The sequence below is a fragment of the Homo sapiens genome, chromosome 3 (genome assembly GCF_000001405.40).
Source record: "Homo sapiens chromosome 3, GRCh38.p14 Primary Assembly".
Classification (NCBI taxonomy): Eukaryota; Metazoa; Chordata; class Mammalia; order Primates; family Hominidae; genus Homo; species Homo sapiens.
The window spans coordinates 8,533,622-8,556,632 of record NC_000003.12 but is presented as its reverse complement, the minus strand read 5'-3'; the positions used below and the strand labels follow the sequence as shown (position 1 = coordinate 8,556,632).

General features: G+C 46.5%; 1 protein-coding gene across 4 annotated transcripts in view, besides 1 other annotated feature; it reads right to left on the bottom strand.

Moving 5' to 3' along the window:
• LMCD1 (LIM and cysteine rich domains 1) overlaps nucleotides 1-23,011 on the bottom strand; it is a 72,846-nt gene that overhangs the window by 18,036 nt on the left and 31,799 nt on the right. For 2 of the 4 annotated variants that reach the window (NM_014583.4, NM_001278233.2), the window contains 2 exons: nucleotides 19,193-19,448; nucleotides 7,730-8,065 (listed from right to left, as the gene is read on the bottom strand). In NM_014583.4, the coding sequence (NP_055398.1) occupies nucleotides 7,730-8,065; nucleotides 19,193-19,448 (592 nt within the window). Of the gene's footprint in view, nucleotides 1-5,358; nucleotides 6,760-7,729; nucleotides 8,066-19,192; nucleotides 19,449-23,011 lie in introns of those variants that run through there. The other 2 variants (NM_001278235.2, NM_001278234.2) reach the window with 2 other exon arrangements.
• Nucleotides 20,053-21,021: an enhancer, noted in NCBI's record as "NANOG-H3K27ac hESC enhancer chr3:8577298-8578266 (GRCh37/hg19 assembly coordinates)". NCBI's record gives its function as "activates a minimal SCP1, AML or CMV promoter by ChIP-STARR-seq in naive H9 embryonic stem cells {active_cell/tissue: H9 hESC(naive)}" and the evidence as "EXISTENCE:reporter gene assay evidence [ECO:0000049][PMID:30033119]".

Here is a 23,011-nt window from a genome sequence, read left to right as displayed (position 1 = left end):
TTAGAACTGCGTGGGTGCTCCAGAGATGGGAACACCTGTTAATTAGAGTCTGTGTCAGGTTTGGAGTGAGGCAGGTCTGGATCCTAGTTCTGGATTAACTACTCACCATCTAGGTGACTAGACAATTTCCTCAGCTTTGTTTTTTGAAATTTTTGTTTTTGTCTGTAATCCACAGTAGCAAATACATTACACGTCCTGATCCAACACACACACACATACACACACACACTCCTGAAAAAAAAAAGCTTCCTGGAAAAATATTTACTACTCCTGAAACACTCTTCCCTTTTCAGTTAAAAAAAATTCTGGTTGTAGTCCACTAAATTGATGTATTACCCACTGACGGATTGTGACCTGAAGTTTGAAAACACTGTTTAACTTTGCTAAGAGTGTCTTTTAATTCCCTTGTTTGTAAAAAGGAGGATGATATACTTTGTAGGATAATTCTTAGGATTAAGTAAAATAACATGCAAAATATCTGGCACAGTGCCTGGCATAACCTAGGTAGTCAATGAATGGGAGATGACAGCATCATCATCATCGTCATCATTTAGCTCATATTAGCAAAACAAAATTGAGTAAAACCAAAGAGATTAATAAAAAGCTAAAACTATTCTTTATGATTCTTCCAGTTCAGGGGTCAGCAAACTGCATCCATCTGTGGGCCAAATCTAGCCCACCGCCTGTTTATGTAAATACAGTTTGATTGGAACACAGCCAGGGTCATCTGTTTAGATATTGCCTATGGCGGCTTTAGTGCTTCAAGAGCTGTGTTAATTAGTCGTGACAGAGACCATGTGGCCTGAAAAACCTTCAATATTCACTATATGCCCTGTACAGAAAAAGTTTACCAATCCCTGTTTTAATCAATGGAATAATATGCAGCCCACTCAAAAAAAAAAAAAAAAAAAAAAAAGCTCGTTGAAGGCCATGTGGCAACATGGAAAAGTATTTATAGTATAGTATAAAAAGTGGGAGAAAGGGAAGTTTCTTTGGAACAAAAAAAAAGATCTCCCTGAAAGTCACTAAAGTATCTCCACTGCAAAGCAAGAGGCAGGCAGATGCCGAGAAGCTGGTAACCATAGTGATTTTGCGGCTGCCCCCAGGCTCCTGCCCATGGTGCCTGAGCCAGGGGTGGCGGGACTGTGGGGAGCAGGGATTCCTCTGGGTGAATGACCCCAGGCTTGTCTCTGGGCCTCTTACCCTCCTGTCCTCCAGCTCAGATGGGGCTCACTAAGTGGGGAGGAGTGGCAGTTTCAAATTCCCAAGTGGGGCTGGCAGGAAAGCCAGCCAGCCTGCCTGCCGAGCCCACAAGCCAAACATCTGCTTAGACAAAGACTTGGAAGTCCCTTGCCCACAAATATGTCCTTCTATTGGGGCTGGAGTTGGGCTGAGCCGCCAGCTGCTGTAAGTTTCCATCTGAAAAGCAGACCTTTGGCGGGGGGGAGGGAGGGGACGGAGGCCTCCCGTCCCCCTCTCAGCATTCTTGTGGGGAAATGGGGCAGAGGGGTCAGACTGTGCTCCCAGGATCCTGGAGGATGATTTCGGACCATATTCACGCGTTTTTATGACTGTGGGGAACATCTTCACTTCTCTCAATGGGCTGTCCTCCTCTTAAGTTTGCTCTTTTGGGGCAGTCACTTGGCCTGAGGAAGGAGTGGTTGGGGAAGGGGCAAGACGGGGAGGCGCCCGGCAGGAATGGTAAATGCTAAAGAGTAGAGATCACATTAAAGGCTATGCTCTGGCTTTCTTTCCCCTTTCTTCAGTTACAAGTTCGGGGTGTGGAGAAAGGCGGAAATTCCTGGGCAAAATGACCATACCCGGGAAATCTGTGTATTTAATTTCTGAGAAAATATTCAGCGAGCTCTCTAAACGCAAGGCAATGGCTTGGTGGAGCTGCTAAGAGTCAGAACATGAAGATCATTGCCCACCCAGCTCAGGGGCCCATCAGTTCCATCCAGGTGGGGAGCGCAGGGCTTGGAGAGTGCGCGAGGGGCTCCCACCAGCCTGGTGTGAATGGGTCCAGGTTGCTGGAGTCGGCAGCTCCCTGGCCACGGAGATCTCTGATACTCAAAAGGCCCACAAGAACCCACAGTGGGTGGAACTGGGGGTGGACATGGGAATCCTTTCATTGTTCTCAGTACGCAGATAAGAGGCTCCCAAATGCTCAGTGGGCTGAGCTGCAAGCTACCCCATACACGGCTGCCCACCCTGGAGAACCTAAACACTCACATATATATCCCCTGGCATGGTCGGACCCACCCTGCCGAGGCCCCACCCCAACACGGCTTCAGACTTCACTCTGCCGGTGAAGCAGAAGGACTGGGGATTGAACCGAAGCCCCGCTCTCATCAGCACGTGGGGTAACCTCACTGCGCCCCAGGGTCCTCATCTGCGAAATGGGTATCACAACCCCAACCTCTCTCACTGGTTGTTACCAAGAGTTAAAGAGGTTTATTACTTGGGAGGTTGAGGCGGGAGGATGGTTTGAACCCGGGAGTTTGTGGCTGCAGTGAGCTATGATCCTGCCACGGCACTCCAGCCTGGGTGAGAGAGTGAGAGCCGTGTATCTAAAAAAATAAAAATAAAGAGATTGAGACCTTACACAGTGCCTGCTGCAGCCTCACAGTTTCCCCTTTCTTCCCTTGATTCTCAACTTGTCTTCTTTCCTACCCTCCATCCCCGCACAATGGGACATGTGAGGAAAAGAGGGAGACTAAATATTTTTGAATTGTATTGGCCTCACTGATGGAAAAGGGCTCGCTTCTTCAGGGGTGACAGTGGGTGCAGTAGCATCTGGCACTGGGATTTTTCAGGCTTGGTATTGCCCCATGAAGAGGGCAACTCTGACAACTTGGTGGCCGGAGGACCTTCCCATGATATCCTGCCTCTCCTAACCTCAGTGTAATAATAACACTTTCAGAGGACTGCCCTGAGGTAGGCATGGACAGCCACAGCTTTTGGTTCATTTCTGAAGTGGACCGAGGTGCCAAGGCTAATTTTAGGTGGCCCCGTCTCGTCAGTAGGGCCCGTCTGCTGGCCTGGGGTTGGGAAGCTGGGGGTGGGGTCAGATTCTGCTCACTGTGTTCAGATCTGTGTAACTGACAGCCCCGGCCATGCAGGTGGGCTGGGCTCAGACAGCAGTGTGTCCTGCAACCTGGCCACCACTGTTATCTGGGCTCACTCAGAACATGGCCCCTTAGTAGGAATTCCATACAGGCATTTTTGCAATAACGCTTCTCTGGTGTGGACATTTTTTTCCAATGAGGATGGTTAGGTGGGGGGCTGGGTGGGAGAACTTGGCAGGCTGACCCTGCCATTGCTCCAATAGGCCACCTCCCAAGGACTCAGAGGAAGGACGTCCCCCAGCAGGTGGACAAGGTGGGAGGGAGCCGAGGGAGCTCACAGCTGGTGTGTGTGTCGGGGGGTGGGTGTAGGGGAAAGTGGGGCCCTGGCCTCAGATTGCAGAGACTTAGTGTCATCAGGGATGGGGGCCGTCAAGGTAGGTTACAGAGCATAGTGTGGTAGATTCTGCACCTGTGCTTCCAGAGCTCTCCAGGAACAGGGAGGGTTATGCAGTATTCTCAAAGGTGGGCTCGCTTGGGGTAATCCACCCCCTATCCCACATAAATAAATACATACATAACCTTGGGAGGCTGAGGCGGGTGGATCACGAGGTCAGGAGATCGAGACCATCCTGGCTAACACGATGAAACCCCATCTCTACTAAAAATACAAAAAATTAGCCGGGCATGGTGGCAGGTGCCTGTAGTCCCAGCTACTCGGAAGGCTGAGGCAGGAGAATGGCGTGAACCTCGGAGGCGGAGCTTGCAGTGAGCCGAGACTGTGCCACTGCACTCCAGCCCGGGCGACAGAGTGAGACTCCATCTCAAAATACATACATACATAGAGCCAGCAGGCCAAATACATCTGGAAAATGCCCATGTTACCATCTAGACTCTCACTATAGGCCAAATTGGTGATATCATTTCTGTTGAGCTCACATGTAAGGCACTTTTTAACACTGTTAGCAGCGGTCCTCAAAGTGTAGCCCCAGACCAGCATCACCCGAGGACTTGTTAGCAATGCACATGCTAAGGCTCCACCCCACACCTACTGATAAGCTCTGGAAGGGGACCCAGCCTTCTGGAGTTGAACAAGCCTTCCAGGTGATTTCAGTGTAAGGACCACAGCATAGGCCTACTAAAGGCTCTGAGAAGTTCTGCTGTAAAGAAACTCACGTAGTTTCATGTTCACTCTAACGTCTCCTGAGCCAGCCACATGATCCTTTTATGGTCCAGAATATCTGGTAGCTCTCCCAGGAATAAGCTTTGGGAAATGGGAAAGAACATAGACTTGATTTTAGGCAGACGTTCAACTGAATCCCAGTTCTGAGGCCCAGCAGCCTGGGGAGGCACAGCCACTTCACATCTTGGGGCAGTTGTAAGCTTTAAATCAGATACTTGCTTAGTCCTGTCCTTGGTTCAGGCAATGCCCACGGACTTGCTGACAGTAACGACAAACACAACGAACACGATTAAGATGATAAACAGGCAGGTGTTACCGATACAGTTCCCGTATGTTCATGTCTCTTTTTGCCCTTCGTTTTTCTCCCGTTAATCTCTGTTCGGTTTTGGGGTGTCAGGCTGAGTCCTACAATTTCTTCCCCACACCTTTATTCTCAAGTTGAATGCCTGGACCACTTCTTGCAAAAATCATTGCCCTTTACCAGGGGAGCAGAAGTCAGGCTTCCTGCCTGATGCTTGGCTCTGGTAATTGTTCTATGCTGCCCTTTTATGAGAAAGGAGAGGGTGCAAGCATACAGGGCAGCCAGCACACACGTCCACTTGATGTGAATGCTGGTGAGGCAAGGCAGACGGGTCAGGGAGTGCAGCCCACACCCACTCCTAATGGCGGGGTTGCTGGGAACACACTGTCTGTGGCCTGTCAGCCTATCTAGCTACCCTTTTCAGGATTACCTCCCCTGCTTCAAGGAGGTAAAAAGGGAGTTAAATAAGGGCACACAGTCTTCTTCCTGCCTGGAACAAATAACAAGCCGGGTTTTACAACTTAGCATCTTATCACAGAAAGGGTATTGGATCCAGGTTCTGCCCCATAGAAACCGTGGGATCTTAGAAAAGTTACCTATTATCCTTGAATCTCACCTGTAAAATGGGTTTGGTAAAATTCATCCTACCAGACAACTGTAAGAATTAAAGATAGACCCTGACAGTGTGAGCATAGTGTTTGGCACAGAGCAGGGGCTTAATAAATGTGGAACTGGAATCGCACCGTCCGCCTAGGCAAATTGGCCATCCAAATAGATCCCATTTTTTAAGGCTTAAGTTCAAACTTTCATTCATGGGTCACATATTTATTGAGCAATGGCTATGTATATCAATGCAAATAAAGAGATGAACAAGACCTCAGCATCTACAGACGGTGACAGACATCGATTCACTAATTACATAATAATTAAAGTAAAATTGTGGTTGGGGCAGGGACATAGAAGTCTATCTTCCACAGCTAGCCCAGCCTAGCCCAACCAATAAAGGCTTCCTTTGGAATCCCTACTTATTTTCTGACTTTGGCCTTTTCCATTTACTGTCTAGTATTGCTATTTAAATGCTTCCCAAGTTCACAATCATTTCCTAAAGCTGACTGTAGGCAAGGACCCGGGTTCTTGGGCTGCCTTTGCCTTTGTTCCACACAGAACAAATATGCGAGGCTCAGTCAAGAATAAAACACGATGTCAGATCCACATGTCTCTTGGGAATGGCGATTTGGAAATGCTACAGTGACTTAGAGGTCTCCTTCCAACTTAGAATTATCTAGTATTTAGGGTTTATGAACAAACAGCTATTTGAGGGTGGACAGAAGCCAGGATCAGGGTGGGGCGGGAAAAGACCAGTTTATAGACCATGGTAACTAGATCTAATATTTTTTTCTTTTTTACATCCTTAGGACATGTATTCTTCCTGAGAAATGGGCCTTTTATGCGTCACTGCCAAATCTGTAGTAGAGGAAATAAATCTTGTTCTTTGGTCTTAGAGTTCTCAGATAAAACAGTTTCTTGGTTGGCAATCCCAGATGGTGCTAATAAGATGGGGCTTGGAGATGGAGGATGCAGGTTTTGGATGATTAGCTTGAGTGACTACAAGGGAGAAAGAGTCCGGCCCTCTCTGGATGTGGCAGCAGCTTTGTTTGGGCTGGCATTTCCCTGGGTCGCCTGGCTCATGTGTGACTGCCAGCCTGTTCAGCAAGGTAGATAATGTGCTTGGGGATCTCGTGTGCTGGGACTTCTATCTCCAAAAGTTAATTGCCATAGAAACAAATGAAGACACTTGGTTGATGGGGCAGGAGGAGCAAAAGGTAAAACAGGGGCTGGGGACCAGAAACGCAGTACACGCTAGACCCACGTGGTCCAGCCTCAAGCATTCCTTTCGCCTTCTGTGGGGCAGTTTAAGACAAACCAAGCCATGAGGCTTTCATCTCCCCAACTCTGGCTTCTCCTTTCTGTTTTCTCAAAATGGCCCCCAGTGACTCACTCCTCAGCAGCACTTCTTCCACACTGCCACTTCCTATGGGTTGAACATCCCCTCCAAACACTCAGGTTGAAACATAATCCTCTGCATGGCAGTATTGAGAGGTGGGGCCTTTAAGAGATGATTGGGTCGTGAGGGCTCAGGTCCTCAGGAATGGATTAATCCACTTATGGCTTAATAGATTAATGGGTTATCACACGAGTGGGACTGGCTTCTAAGAAGAGGAAGAGAGACCCGAGTTAGCACACCCAGCCCCCTTGCCACATGATGCCCTGAGCCACCTCAGGACTCTGCAGAGAGTGCTCACCAGGAAGAAGTCCCTCACCAGATGCAGCCCCTTGGCCTTGGACTTCTCAGCCTCCACAGATGTATGAAATACATTCCTTTTCTTTATAAATTACCCAGTTTCAGGTATTCTGCTATAAGTAACAGAAAATGTACTAAGACACTGCTAGAGGAAACTTTTGTAAGCACAGCATGGACCATGTACCTCTGACCAAAAGCCTGTCTATGACCTTTGGAATAAAGTCCTAACTAAGTTCATGGCATTCTGCAGTTTGGGGACAGTGTCCTCTGCTTGTTTGATTTCCTGGGGCAGTGCAGCTAATACAAGCTAATCAGTATTTGACTGATGAATGGATGGATGGAATGAACCCTCCAGGAATCCAGCCTCTGCTGCCCTCCCTAGCCTCATGTCCCCAGCTCCCCAAGCATGCCACACTTTCAATCACGTGGGACTTCTTTTAATCTTCTAAATGCACTGTGCTTTCTTGAACTCCTGGCTCTTTTTGCAAATGCTCACCTCTTTAAGGGGGTACACATCCTCCCCTCAAAGCCTGAAGGCTTGGATGACCCCTAGACATTCTTCGTAGACCAGCTTGTACCTCACCAACTTCTTGAAGCTTACCCTCACCACCAAGCAGGCTTAGATGTCCCTTCTCTAAACTGTTTCGGTTTTGCCTGTGACCGCCACTGGACTATGAGCCTTTCAAGGGCAGTGGTATTGTATCATTTTCCATGGGACAGTGCCTGGCACAGACTAAATGAGCAATCAATATCTGCTGAATGCACAAATTCATGAATAAATGCATGAATGAGGGAACAAAGCCCCGTGATGGGGCCCTGACTGTCCAGCCCTGGGCCTGCATGGTTTCAGCCTGGCTGGAAGCATGGGAGAAACTTACGTATTCCACTTCTTTGGACGGGTCACTGAGACTGCCGTTGGTGGTAGCAGCAGTGGTCTCTGCCCCCTCTGGCTTTTCCTGCTGCTTCCCCTCCTCCTTGGGCAAGCCACCCTGCCCCGGGAGGGCCACTTCTCCCACGCCGAGGGCCTCGCTCTTATATTGCTTGACAAATTCTTCCATCAGTTTCAACTCATTCTCCAAAAGTCCACGGCAGCGCGAGGGATCCTGGTCATAGATGGGGAGCTGGTGCATGAGCTGGCGGCGGCGGTAAAAGGCACCCTCTGTGCCTGTCACTGGCTGCTTCTCCTTGGGGATGAGCTCCATGTACTGCAGTCCCTAGGGAGGAGGAGGAGGAAGAGACAACATGATGTGGATGGGGCTTCATCAGTCAAAGAAACTATGACAGAATCTACCTAAAACTGAAAATGCATTCTCTTCCAGCATTCTCAGCAACTGAAAGACCCACAGTCTTTATTTTCTTAACTTAATGCAGTTAGATTACTTTTGTAATTTTAGAAAATTACAAAAGCAATACTGTCCATTGTGACAAATAAAACACACATGAGAGAAAAAACTTTAGTAAAGGAAAAACACGCATCCCTTAGCTACCTTGTGTATGTAGGGAGTGTTCTGTGTCTCAATCTTGGTGAAAGGGCCATGGAAATGTATCTGTGTCAAAGCTCATCAAGCTGTACACATCAGATGCACGCACTTTGCCATATGCATACTGTATGATCGTGTGCTACATGACGGCATTTCAGTCCACGATGGGCCACATATACCATAGTGGTCCCATAAGATTATCATACTCTATTTTCACTATACCTTTTCTAGGTTTAGATATGTTTATATACACAAATACTGACTGACCATTGTGTTACAATTGCCTATAGTATTCAGTACAGTCACATGCTGTACAATTTGTGGCCTAGGAGCAATAGGCTATACTGCGTAGCCTAGATGCGTAGCAGGCTACACCATCTAGGTTTGTGTAAGTGCATTCTTTTCTTTTTTTTTTGAGATGGAGTCTCGCTCTGTTGCCCAGGCTGGAGTGCGGTGGTGTGATCTCGGCTCACTGCAAGCTCTGCCTCCCGGGTTCACGCCATTCTCCTGCCTCAGCCTCCCGAGTAGCTGGGACTACAGGTGCCCGCCACTGCTAATTTTTTTGTATTTTTAGTACAGACAGGGTTTCACCGTGTTAGCCGGGATGGTCTTGATCTCCTGACCTAGTGATGCACCCGCCTCGGTCTCCCAAAGTGCTGGGATTACAGGCATGAGCCACCGCGCCTGGCTGTGTAAGTGCATTCTTTGACATTCACACAAAGACAACATCACCTGAGGACACATTTCTCAGAACGAAACCCCAGCATTAAGTGGTGTATGACTGTCCTTTGTTTTAAAAAGGATTTTAAAAACTTACACCTTATTGGCTCATGGTAACAGCTTGCCAACAACTTTGTGTTTATCGTTCCAGACAATAGTATATTTATTAAATAAGGGCACCCAGTCTTCTTTCTGCCTGGAACAAATAACAAGTAGGGTTGTACTTAATGTATTTAAATGCTATTTTCTGTGCGTGTGTACCATTTAACATGAGTCCTTGGTCAGTGGGTTCTGTTTCTCCTGTGACTGGGCCAGCCCATGTCATGGTGTGGGACAGGGAACAATCTTGCGTGTGAGAAAGAGACACTTGTTTGCATCTGCTATTGTGTGCTCTATCTGTTGGTTAAGTAGCTAGCTGTCTACTTGCTAATAATAATCATTATTTTATTGCTTATTCTCCAAGGAACACTGTAGTTTTCAATTTTGGATGGCAGTGGAAAGAAAAAGGAGTCTACATTTACTCATGGGCTAGGTTTTCCATCAGAATTTGAATAAAGCTCATTTTGCTCTGTTCTCTGACTTTCAATTAATGGTAATAATTACATTTACTAGTTTGCCTCTATCACCAAAGAAAAGTTGCTGCTTTTAAACCTCTTCTTTAGTATCATTTGCTAGACGGTAGCCAGTTGATAAAACTCTTAACAGTATAATGACAAAAGTTATGCCAGCTGGCTGCCCTCACAAAACCTGTGTCCCACTCGGCGCTCTCTTCTCACTGGCCCCACAATTGATAGGCTTGATTTCTACCTTCACTCATGGACTTACACCTCCCCCTGCCCCTGGAAGGAAAAGCCCTCTCTCTTCTTTCCTGTTCTTACAAGCAGCACTGTATGCTTTGGTCTCTCCCTAGTCCTTAACCATTCCTAGTGTATTTGAGCTGACCCTCTAGCGGGACAGTTCAATCCCTGAGGGCAGGCCATGTCCCTTCTACCATAGTAGCAAGAGCAAAGGCTCTGGAATCGGCTTGTCCTGAACTGAAATCCTGGTTGTAGGCATGCCGGCGGTGTGACTGTGGCCATGTCATGCCGTCTCTTTGCACAGGTTCTTCAGCTGTAAAAAGGAGGATCGTAAACCCTAGGGTGGCTATAGGATTACTTAAAAGAACCACAGCGCCTACCAAGCTGCTCCAACCACAGCCCATGGGCCACATATGGCCCAGGACAGCTTTGAATGTGGCCCAACAGAAATTTGTAAAAAATTCATAAACATTCTTAAAACATTATGATATTTTTCTGTGATTTTTTTTAAGCTCATCAGCTATCGTTAGGTGATGGTGTATTTTATGTGTGGCCCAAGACAATTCTTCTTCCAGAGGAGCCAAAAGATTGGACACTCCTGATCTACATGCTACTGACTTTCTCTTTTTTTTTGTTTTGTTTTGTTTTTTTGAGACAGAGTCTCGCTCTGTCACCCAGGCTGGAGTGCAATGGCCTGATCTTAGCTCACTGCAATCTCTGCCTCCCAGCTTCAAGCGATTCTCCTGCCTCAGCAGGAGAATCCGGAGTGGCTGGGATTATAGGCGTGAGCCATTACACCCGGCTAATTTTTGTATTTTTAGTAGAGACGGGGTTTCGCCATGTTGGCAGGTTGGTCTTGAACTTCTGACCTCCACCAACCTCGGCCTCCCAAAATGCTGGGATTACAGGTGTGAGCCACCGCACCTGACCCTGTTTGCTTTTCTATCTGTGGCTTTTCTCTTTTCAAATCTCTGATTACAGTTAGACTCACCAGCTACATATGTCAAAGTAGTGTCTCTCAATGGACACAGTGTACAATAACCCTGCGAAAAATTACTAACATGCAGATTCCCAGGCACCAAGCCCCAGTCAAGATCTCCATCCAGTAGGTGAGGTGTGGGGTACAGGAATCTGCATTTTTAACAAGAATCCTGGTAAATCTGATGCAAGAAGTTGGCTCCTGGACTTTACTTGCACTACTGTTTCAATAAAATACTGGCAAACAAAAAAATTAGTGAGATAAACAACTGGGATTCTCGAGCACTGGACAGAGATCTGAGGAAAGGCCAGAGGACGATTCCTAGCTGCTTCAGGCTTTTGCAAAATGTAAGAATTCTCAAGGAAGAAATATGAATTTTGCTAATACCTGAGAGATGCCTAAATGAGCTCTTACTCTGCTCCAAGTTATAGTCAGAGATTCACATTCTTGATCAGAATGGTGTAATTTAAGTAGATGATCATTTTAGATTTGCTGGCTTTGCAACATGAATTTTGTTTCTCTCAAAACTGAATATTTTTATTTCATTTACCTCCTGGGCAACATTCCTAATTAAAAAAAAAGTCAACCTTGTCTAAAATCGCTTTTTCTTAGAAAAGTATAATTAAATCATTATGGACATAAGGTATTTCATGGTTTATTAATTAAAAAATATGCAAAGTCAACTTCTAATAGTAGAATCGACAAGGTCTCAGGTCAGTAACATTTCCCCATTAATATGACTGGTAACTGTCTGAATATTAATGTGTTCACAAGTAACTGTCCAATTTGGCCTCATTTATATATTTGTTTTTATTGAACGTAATTCTTATGCATGGGTGAGTCCCAGGGACGGGGAGATTAGGGGAAGATACAGGTCAGGACCACGGCCTGAGAAACCGTGAGAGGCAAATTGCTCATCCTGGACAACCATTTTCCATTTCTGTGCCTGACCCTGACTCTGAACCTTAGTACCCAGTCTCCTGATTCCTATCACTGAGGTGGCTGCTGCTAGGTTCATCCTCCTAGAACCCATCTGGCCCATAGCTTATCGCTTGGGGCTGGACTCATTTGGGAACTGTGGGAGTGAACATGGAAATTCATGCTGAAATGCATATTGTACAGACCCTGTTGCTGTCTGATTTTAGGGAGCAGTGGTGAGGAAGCTAGGGTTGTTGTGGGGTGGGGGAGTACAAGTCTAGGGCTTGGTACCTGCTGGGATTCATAGTAAATAAATTCTGGGAAACAGCATAGAAAGGGGAAAGGCAGGTGACCTGAGCTCCTGTGGGACTCCAATTGAGGGGTGGCTGCAGACGCCCCATTGGTCACTCTGCCCTAAATCCCAGAGGACACCTATCTGAGACACCTTCTGGCACTGTAAGCTCACAGCATACCCAGCTAATCCCAGGTATGTCTGCACACCTCTGAATGCTTTTCAAGGTGCTTTCTCAGACAGAAGAGAAGACCTGGGTGGTGGAGTGTCTGGAAGTCAGGGTTTTAGGTCCAGTTCTCCTGCTGCTCTCTATGTCAGACTGAGAAAGTATCTCCTGGGCCTCAGTTTCCTCATCTACAAAGTTCAGGGTAGATTATGTAATCCCTAGGGTTCTGACCGTCATGAGAAGTCCCTGGCAATCTCATTCAATGGTCACCATAACCAAGAGAGAGAGAAGAGCAATATCACTAACCCGAGGTTACAGTTCAGGAAAGGGGAAGGAGACGGTGGATTCCTGTCAAAGAGGCCAAGATAGTCCACCAACCATGTGGACGAGCAGAAGCCCCTGTGCATCACACAACTGCAGCAACATCTGGGAAGGGCTTCGTCCTGACCCCGTCTTAGGAGACTGGGGTATCTGGTAGTTTTCTTCTTGATCAGTATGAAATTACAGGTGGCTTTTAGCACAAATATGTCAGTCAGGTAGGTCTGAAGAACCTCAAACTTTAGGGTGCATAAGAATCACTGGGAGACCTTGTGAAAAGTTTTCTGGGTCTATCCTTAGGTTCTGATTTAGGAGGTCTGGAGAGCCCTAGAAATGAGCACTTTAAGCCAGGAGCGGTGGCACATGCCTGTAATCTCAGCACTTCCAAGGCTGACACAGGAGGATTGCTTGAAGCCAACCTGGGAAACAGAGAGACCTCATCTCTACAAAATACTGAAAAATCAGCCAGGTGTGGTGGCACATGCCTGTAGACCTGGCTACTTCAGTGGCTGAGGTGGGAGGATCGCTTGAGCTCAGGAGCTTAAGGTTATAGTGAGCTGTGATCACACCACTGCAGTCTAGCCTGGGCAGCATGTCTCAAAATCTATCTATCTATCTGTCTGTCTGTCTGTCTATCTGTCTGTCTGTCTATCTCTCTGTCTGTCTGTCTATCTATCTATCTATCTATCTATCTATCTATCTATCTATCTATCATCTATCTATCTATCTATCAGCAGTTTAAAACAGTTTCTCCTGGGTGGCTCTGACACAGGATACCCCAGGGTTGGGGCTTCTCTCGGGGCAGTGAGTGGGGAAAGAGGATGTGACCATCAGAGACAGTGAGAAGTGGCAGCCGGACGGCCAACAGGCGAGGGCAGGCACAGAGCCCTGCAGAGATGCGTTAGGGTGTAGCCTTGGGTGGCAACTTTGCTCACACCGTCCCCTTCCTATTTCTTGCCCAGGGCCTGCCCCTGCTTCCAGAATCTAAAGAAGGATTTCGGAGAAGTGGAAAGAAGAGCTTGGCTCACTCTGCCAGAGTGGGGATCAGGCCTGACTAGCATCTTACTAACACCAAGTTCCGAAGCAGCCCCATCCAGGCTGATTCGGCTCATGGGAGAGTAATTGCCCTTCCTGGGAAGACTGCTGACTTCTCCATGTTCAGCAGTTGAAGAGATGATAGGAACAGCCAACTCTTAGGGAGGGCTTGCTATGATCCAGGCACTCTTCCAAGTGCTTCACACACGTTAACCCATTTAATTCTCACAACAACCCTAGGAGGAAGGTACTAATGTTACCTTTTGGAAAACAGAGGCACAGAGAAGTTAAGTAACCTCCCCAAGGTCACACAGCTAGTATGTGATAGAGACAGCTATGAACCCAGCAGCATGGGTCTCAAGCCCTTCTCTGCTGCCTCTCTAGAAGACGGATGATTTTCCAAGAGGAAAAATATTCCCCAATCTCTGGAGGCATTTCCTTTTGTCATCATTTCAGAGTGAGCGGGCTGGGTAAGCATCAAGTGGTAACAGGATCCCCCATTCCCTGGATGTGTCTGTTTCTCTGGCTTTCCAGGGCCTGCACCCTTTTCTTCTGAGCTTTACAATAAATGGTGTGCTAGGGATCCTGGGGCAGCGGCTTCGCCAGCCAGATGTTAGTTGACCCCTGCGTTCACGGTGTCCTTTCACGGCTCTGCACTGGCATTGGGTGTCTGTGGCTGCAGGGCTAATGTGCTTCCTGGCTGGAGCCTTGGAGAAAGGGAGTTTCCCTTCCCAAGGACCCAGTGATCCTTTTGCAGCTCAAAGCTCCAGCTGGGGCTGGGCATGGTGGTTCATGCCTGTAATCCAAGCACTTTGGGAGGCCAAGGCGGGCAGATGGCTTGAGGTCAGGAGTTTGAGACCAGCCTGGCCAACATGGTAAAACCCCATCTCTACTTAAAAACAACAACAAAAAAATTAGCTGGGCATGGTGGTGTGTGCCTATAGCCCCAGCTAATTGGGAAGCTGAGACATGAGAATCGCTTGAACCCAGGAGGCGGAGGTTGTAGTGAGATCAGATCCTGCCACTGCGACAGAGGAAGAAGCAGTCACAAAAAAAAAAAAAAAAAAAAAAAAGCTCCAGCCTCTCTGTCTTTGCATGGTCAATGCCACTGCATCCAGCTGCCACTGGTGTGTACTTTGTGATCCTGGCCTTGCCTGGCTGGTCTGAGACTTCCACCACTGCTCCCTATTCACAAACGTTGCTAATCAAGCCCTCAGAATCCCTCTTAACACAGCCCTCCAAGCAACCACTATTGACTGGCACGGACTTGGGAAGGGGATGACAGGGACAGAGGTTTGGGCCGGAGTCAACGACCTGGCACTGCTCTGACTCTGAAACAGAATCTCCCAGGTATCTCTCTGATACCCGACTACGTCATGTTATCTACGTCTCATACCTGACTACGTCATAGGAGCTAAATCTTGTTCCCATAACCTTTAGCAGGAAGCATTTTCTCAGACCAGTTGGAAAGGTTGGTTTAGGTTTTATGTTTTTCCTAAGGACCTTTCTTGATTTTTCTTTTTTCTGAGATGGAGTTTTGCTCTTGTTGCCCAGGCTGGAGTGCAGTGGCACAATCTCGGCTCACTGCAACCTCTGCCTCCCGGGTTCAAGCGATTATCCAGCCTCAGCCTCCCAAGTAGCTGGGATTACAGGCGCCTGCTACCACACCCGGCTAATTTTTGTATTTTTAGTAGAGAGGGGTTTCACCATGTTGGTCAGGCTGGTCTCAAACTCCTGACCTCAGGTGATCCACCTGCCTCGGCTTCCCAAAGTGCTAGGATTACAGGTGCGAGCCACTGCACCTGGCCCCCTGAGGACCTTTCTGAGTTACTTGGTGCTCTGCAACCTGGTCGGGACATCTTGGGTGGAGAGGTTCCAGGAATCTGCCTGTATCAGGAAAGAAACTAAAAATGCAAAGCAAAGTGGAAGGGAAGGCACTCCTGTACCCTGGATTAGGCAGTGAAACACACATGGGCTCTGGAATCCGGAGACCCTGTTCTGATTCTTCTCTTCCTGATTCTTCTGCTGGCAGCCAAGAACAGTAAATGGGCTTCATCTGACAAGTCAACCCCAGTCCATAGTGGTGACCGAGAGTGCTATGTGAAGAAGGATCCTGAGGGCCGATAAGAAGTCAATGGGAAACAGTACTCTGACTGATAAGTAATGCCTGCCATGGGTCTGGAAGCAGAGGGCGAGGTATGAGTAAGTGCCACCCCTGCATTGGCTCCTCACGGGCCTCTGTCTGCTCCTCTGTAAAATGAGCCTGTAACATACTCAGCACATAGGGCGCGGTGAGGTGTTCATGAGATACACATACAAATGCTCAGTGGATGCTGGTCTCCTTTGTCTTCTCCCTCTTTCCTTCCCCCAAATCCTGGCAGCTTTCAAAGCCACACTCAAGCTGCTTCCTGTTCATGATAGCCTTCCCTGAAAATGCTAACCCAGGGTATCTGCTCCTTCCTGCCTCCCCTCCCACCTGCCAGTTCGCCTGGCCTGGCCTGGATTGGTAGGGAAGAGCCCAAACTTTGGAGTCAGGGTGGCCTGAGTTCAAGACCTGGCTCTGTCACTTACATCGGCTGTGGGACATTGGGCTAGCTGCATCGTTGCATCATCTCTCTGAGCCTCAGTTTCCTTCTTTGTAGCTGAGGGTAATGATAGTATACTTCTAACAGTGCTGGATAATTAGATGAGATTGTGCATGGATAGCTCCTAGTATGGTGGCTAGTATACAGTAAATACTTAACAAATATCCACAATTAGGCTTATTGTTATCAGCATTTGAAGGCTTAAGAATTGCTCAGACTTTCATTCTGGTTGCAAAGGATGAGAGATAGCAAAATTCGGTCCCATTCCCAAAATATAATCAGTCTTGATCATTCGGTAATTAAAAAAAAGTTGGTCAATTCCCAGCTATGAGTGAGAACATGCGGTGTTTGGTTTTCTGTCCTTGCGATAATTTGCTCAGAATGATGGTTTCCAGCTTCATCCATGTCCCTACAAAGGATATGAACTCATCCTTTTTTATGGCTGCATTGAACAATAAGAACACTTGGACACAGGATGGGGAACATCACACACTGGGGCCTGTGGTGGGGTGGGGGCCTGGGGGAGGGATAGCATTAGGAGAATACCTAATGTAAATGATGAGTTAATGGGTGCAGCACGCCAACATGGCACATGTATACATATGTAACAAACCTGCACGTTGTGCACATGTACCCTAGAACTTAAAGTACAATAATAATAATAATAATAATAATAATAATAATAATAATAATAAAAATGTTGGGAAGGTGAGTGGGAAGGGGGAGTTGTCCAATCTCAGAAATGGGACTTGCCCTGGACGCCCAGATGAAGAGCAGACAGAGGGGTTCTTTACAGCCATGTGGTTTTATGAGCCAGCATTAATCACTGCCTGACGATGGCTTCCCCTGATTAGTCTGGGGTCAATGTGTTTGGGGTTTTCACCAGCCGGTCCCTGAAGCCCGCAGCCAGCTCTTTCATGAGCTGCTTGCTTTAGTTTCCACTGACATCCTGGAGACGTGCTTGATAGCTTACCCAGACCTGGGGCTGGAGGGAGACCTGAGCTCTGAACTACCGGGCATGTCCTGGCTCTGCTGTTGTTCTGTGGCCACACTCTGTGGCCCGGGACAAGCCCCTGTCTAGTACTAAAAACTTTTGAAAGCCAATTAACCATTCTGTGTTTCCTTACATGTAAAACAACTCGGCCTTACAGGGTGATCGAGTCCATGGATGCTGAAGTGTTCTTTTAAAATGTGCTCTTCTTTATCAAAAAGTACAGATTAAGAAAAAAATCTTAGTCTCTTTTCATTTTATCTGGAAGGGATTTTCCCCCCTAAGGCAACAGCTTAGAACTGTGCCTCTGAAACTCTCTATGGCGAAGGATCAAGGTTTGTTTGTTTTTTACTTATTGCAGAGTGATTTGTGGTCTCTCTCATGTGATTAGAATGTAGCGCATACCCCATGAGATTTCAGTGTGAGTCTTACCACAGTGGAATTCTGTTCTGATATGAGTTCTCATCCCATCACACAGTTGCATGTCAAATTGCTGTAACATTTTCCCAACATATATTCTCAATTTCTCAACTTTTTTCATTGGGTCCAGGTCACAAAGACTGTGCGGAAGAGCTCCAGTCCACAGCCCACACTTAGAGCATCTCTGGCCTAAAAGGTGACATTGCACTAACACTCGTCACACCTGTCCTGCACCCTGCACCGTCCTGGGTGCAGGGATGTTACGGTTTACAGGACAGGCAGGGTGTCTGCCCTCATATCTAGGCACAGAAAAAAGATAATCTGTTTGCAATAAAAGTTGTTAAAGAAACGAAAAGAAATAAAAAATGTGATAGGATGGCAGGTGACATCTATTGTAAACTGAATATCTGGAGAAGGACTATTTGGGAAGAGCAAGGAAAGAACCTTTCAGAAAAGGAGCAGGACGTGCGAAGGCCCCAAGGAGGGCAGGAGCTTGGTGTGTTCTAGCACTGGAAGGAGGAAGTCAGAGTGTCTTAAGGTGTTGAGATGTTGGGAGTGAGAGCACAGTGATGGGAGCCATGGAGGAGCCTGAAGGATAGGGCCATGAAGGGCTCCAAAGGCACTCCTTTTCTTCCAGCAGATATTCAATTAAATGCCATGCTTGCATTTTTAAAATTGTTGAACCTTCTACAAATTGTATTAACATATAGAAATCATCCAGCCTCTTGTTACTCCACATGTAAGGTTCTGGGGACCAGTAGCATCAACATCACCTGGGAGTATGTCAGGCGTGCGGTATCTCAGGATGGCCCTGAACTTGCTGGATGCATTCTGATGAGCTCCCCAGGTGATATCTACCCATGTTGAGATTGTAGGAGCCCTGATCTGGTGCATTGGATCTTGAAGGTGGCTGCACGGGGAGTCATTTAAATGGTCACATCTGATGATTTGGATTTTGTAGTCTGGAGCTTCTGACTCAATGGTCTGGGATGAGACCTGGGTATGGAGACCTTCTGCAGGTCCCGGGGATTCCAGCGAGCAGCTAGGGTGTAACCTTGTGTGAGTCACTTGCTCTCTCTGGACCTGTGTCCTTTCTGCCCTCCTCAGGGTTTCTCTGATCATTTACTTGAGATTTCTCTGGTTGCTTTTGTTCAAGGTTATATAAAACCAGTTTGGCTCTCCCTCCTAAGACCAATAGGTTTCAGCATTTAGGCAGAAGAGAGAAATGTTTCTCTGCTCTCCTACAGGTTTGCAAAGGGCATATCCCAGGCTACTTCAAGGGAAAATGAATATCTTGCAGATGGAGATAAGCACTCAGAATTTTGAGTGATAAACTATCTCCTGTTCAGAAGTGAGGAGCCCAAATGGAACAATAAATGCCCCTGTACTAGAGCTGCAAGGCCTCTTGGGGTCCATATGAACACCTCTACCCATTTCATGGATAAGGAAAACCGAGGCCCAGATAGTCTTCATTTCTCAACATCACATGATATAAGGGCAGGGCTAAAACCACAGCCACTCCTGTCATTTTTGTGACCTTGAGCTCTTGCCACCCCATGTTTGAAATTCAGAAACACTTGACATGGCTAGTATTTATGAGGATAGGAAAACAACTGCTTGGTTGGGGAAGCTCTCTTACCAGTTTCTGGGTGACTCCAGGGGGAGCCCACTCGTAGGTGATGGTGTCAAAAGTGGGATCTTTCCCAGTAGCAATAGGGTTGGTCATGATCATCCGGTTCCTCTTGTAAATCCGGATGCCGTCCCCGCCTTTCACCCGAGCAGTGAGGGTGGAATACTTGGAGTCCATCAGCAAGCGGCCAATTTTCCGATCGTCTTCTAGGTCAGATGTTAGGCAGTGGTCCTCTTGGCTGCATTTGCAAGACTTGCATATTTTCCTGGGGGTGGGTGGATGGGGACCAGTGAGATTAACCTCCAGGAAAAAGAGGCACATTCTCCTGCTAGCAGCATCTACCCTTTTGAAAGCAAGCTAAAACTTTAAGTTGGAAAAACTAGCAGCGGACAAATGGTAACCTGAGACAAAAAGGCCTTTGGAATTGGGAACTGCATTTGGGAAATGACAGTGTTTGTATTAATCTATCAGTGAGGAATGTAGGATATAACTTGTGCTGGTAAAAAGAGTGGTATGTTTTCCCTCCTGGTGGTTGCCACGGCAAAGGCTGATTTGTTCATCAGAGATGCTCTAAAGCTGGGCTGGAGTCTGTGTGGCCCATAGCCTAAACTTGGCCCACAATCTGCTCTTGTAAATAAAGTTTTATTGGAACACAGCCATGACCACTCATTAACATATTGTCTGTGGTTGATCTGGGGCAACAACAGCAGAGTTAGTAGTTACAACAGAGAGTATCTGGCTTACAAAGCCTAAAATATGTACTTTCTGGCCCTTTACAAAAAAAGTTTGCAAACTCCTGCTCTAAAGAATTATTAAAATTGTTTTCCAAGATCATAGCCTCGGAGCTTCAGCAACTTTTAAACTCTTTAGCATAAATACTGCCGTTAGAATGCAGTGAATATTTTCTTCAAGAAATTTGTGAACAGGACCCAGCAGGGAGAGAGGTCAGAAAACCCCTCTGGCTGGGGAGATGGATGTGTATTGGGAAGGCTTTGTCAGAAGAAGGAAACACATCCTGGGGAGGGTTCAGATTTACTAAAAAGCCTCATGCTTCTCTTTGACAATTAAAAACAAAAATCTGTGGCTACTTGGTGTCATGCTGTTAAGGTTTAGAAATCAAGAGAGTTCCACGGCGTGAGAGGAAAATCGCTCCCCTCCCTTTCCGGCCTGTCACCATGGGCAGGCTGTGCTGGGTCTCAGATGCTCTTCTGCATGCAACTTGAGAGCTTGTACAGTAAAGTGAGCAATGTCAAGGCCAACTGCAGGGATGAGGGAGGCCCAGCAAGGGAGGTCACTGCAGCTGAATGATCGGCAAGGCTGAGGGAACCCTCCTTTTCCCTCCTACAGTCAGGAGGTAAATACGTCTGATCGAATATCACAAACGTTGATTGTGGGGCTAGTGGGGGCAAGCCCTGATGGTCTAAATTAGTGGTTCTCAACTAAGGTCAATTCTGTCCCAAAGGACAGAATTAGCAATGTCTGGAGACATCTTCGATTGTCCCAGTGGGGTAGAGGAGTGCTATTGGTGTCTGGTGGGTAGAGGCCAGGGATGCTGTAAACATTCTACATTCCACAGAATAGCTCCAACAACAAAGAATTATGAGGCCCAAAATGTCAATTGTGCTGAGAGGTTGGGAACCCCTTACTGAATATGAAGAGAAGAAGGCCTTGTTGTGACCTTTAAGGAGCTTACAGTTGGGATGGGACAGGGAGAGAAAATCAGATGGAAATTATATAAAGTAGAATACATTCAGGGCAGAAGAGAGTTGCCTAAAATCTGGGAGTAGTTCTACTGGCCTGGGCCAGTTCTCCAGGAGATTAGTATGTGGTACATAGAAAAAGGCTTGGTGCTTAGTGGTCATGAGTTTGGAAAACAGTGGGTTAAGGGAGGTTAAACACCTCTCTTTAGTGCAAAGCTACTCCTTTGACTTTGATACGGTGATGTGCAGCATGACATTTTGAATGCTACTGGAGAAGCTTGCAGTACAAGTTCACATTCAGTGGGCTGCAATTTGAGAGATGTTAAAATTGACAATCTCAAGGATGTGTTCCAGTAGCAAAAAGGAGAAAATGACCCTCAGGGTGCTGCAGGGAATAAATGAGAAGGTTTTCCTTCTCAAAAAAAATTAAATAAATAAAAATAAAAATGGGTTGTTTTGTTTTGCATTTTATTCACAATCAATAATATTCTCTTGCTTATCCATTTTCAGAGCCAGGCATGAGAAGCCTGCTTCTTTAAGAAGACAGGCACTAGGCAGTATCAGGGGAGTGAGAACAGCAGGGCTGGAAGTGGAAGGAGAAGGAAGAGGCAGAAAGTGAAGGAAATCCTGGCATAGAGGGACATGGAGGAACCTGACTCTTCAGTGTCCCATCTGACCTTCTGACCTCCCCAATACTTTCCATAAATGGAACTAGATGAGGAGGCTGCGCATAGCTTTTGCAGTTAATGTGGAATTTCAGGATGATAATTAGAGAGGCTGGGAATGCAAAACATTTCAAAACAAAAAAAAGTTAACAGATCTGAGATGTTCCTTGAAATGGTGTCAACACAATTTCTCCTTTTATTCACACTCTTCATGTGGCCAGGCACATTTCTAGGACTTTATACATGAGTGATCCACCCCTCTCACCCCACCCCACTCTTTCCAGGTGCCCAGATTATAGAGGACACAGGCACACCCCAAAATATCCTCAACGGTATTAAAACAGCCATTTCTGTAATCTGTCATTGGTAATCTGGGACTGAATTCTGTCCTGTGATGATTAGTTGAAGGGCTTTCCTATTAAACCATGTTGGTTGGCACTTTGGTCATTTAAATGTCTTACAAACAATTGAGAGTTTAAAACCTGGAGCATAAAAAAGTTTAACAGGATTTCCCTCCTAAGCTTCTGTGATGTTACTGCTTCAATTTGAGTCTAATTTAAGTCCCTATTTGGATTCTTCAAACCAAGGATGACACTTGATATGCAGGACCTGCAAGCTTCAATCTGTATTTCTCAAAGACAAATTCACTTGATGTTCAAATCATTTGTACGATGACAAGAAAATGGAGGGATTAAAACAATGCTAAGAGACTTCTGCTTGTTGCCATGAAAAATAGGGTCCAGAATTGTCCTCTCTTCCTGAACAACTGGAAAACCAGAAAAAATATACCAAATGATCATTTTCAGATGTTGGACAGCAGGGAGCACAGGATTGAGGTCCTTGAGAGAAGGGAAAACTGATTGAATTGACTCGGTGGGTGCATTTAGATAACATTTTCCCCTGGCTCAAGAAATATAAAAGGAGACGTCCTAGCTGTCTTCAAATTGCTGAGGAGGAATCAACGCTGTCCTGAGATTCAGGACCAGTGGGGTTGAAATGATAAGGAAGTTGACTTTCTTTCCAGGCCAGAAAGAGCTCAAATGGCCAAAATATAGTAAGTGTGGAGAACTCCTCCTAGGAGTGTTTAAATTATAGAAGGAGTTTTTGAAGGGGATAGAAGCCTGAGTTGGAGGACCTTGAAGGTCCCTAGCAACCAGAAGACGGTGCGAGCTCCTCTGAGGTTGGGAACTGTCAGGGAATGGAGTCAGGGAACAGTGTTCTGCTCTGAAAGCTCATAGCCCTGTGTACTGCAGAACGATTAGGAGCATGGGATTGGGATTCATGCAGATCTGAGTTCAAATCCTGCCATCTGGTAGTTGTTGCCCCATTGCCTACCTTCAATGTCCTGATCAACAAAATGGAGATACTAATACCTACTGCTTAGGTTTATTTCAACATTTAAATAAAAAAGATTTCATTCAGTTCATACGTAGTTATTTTTATAATTCCCATCTCATAATGGA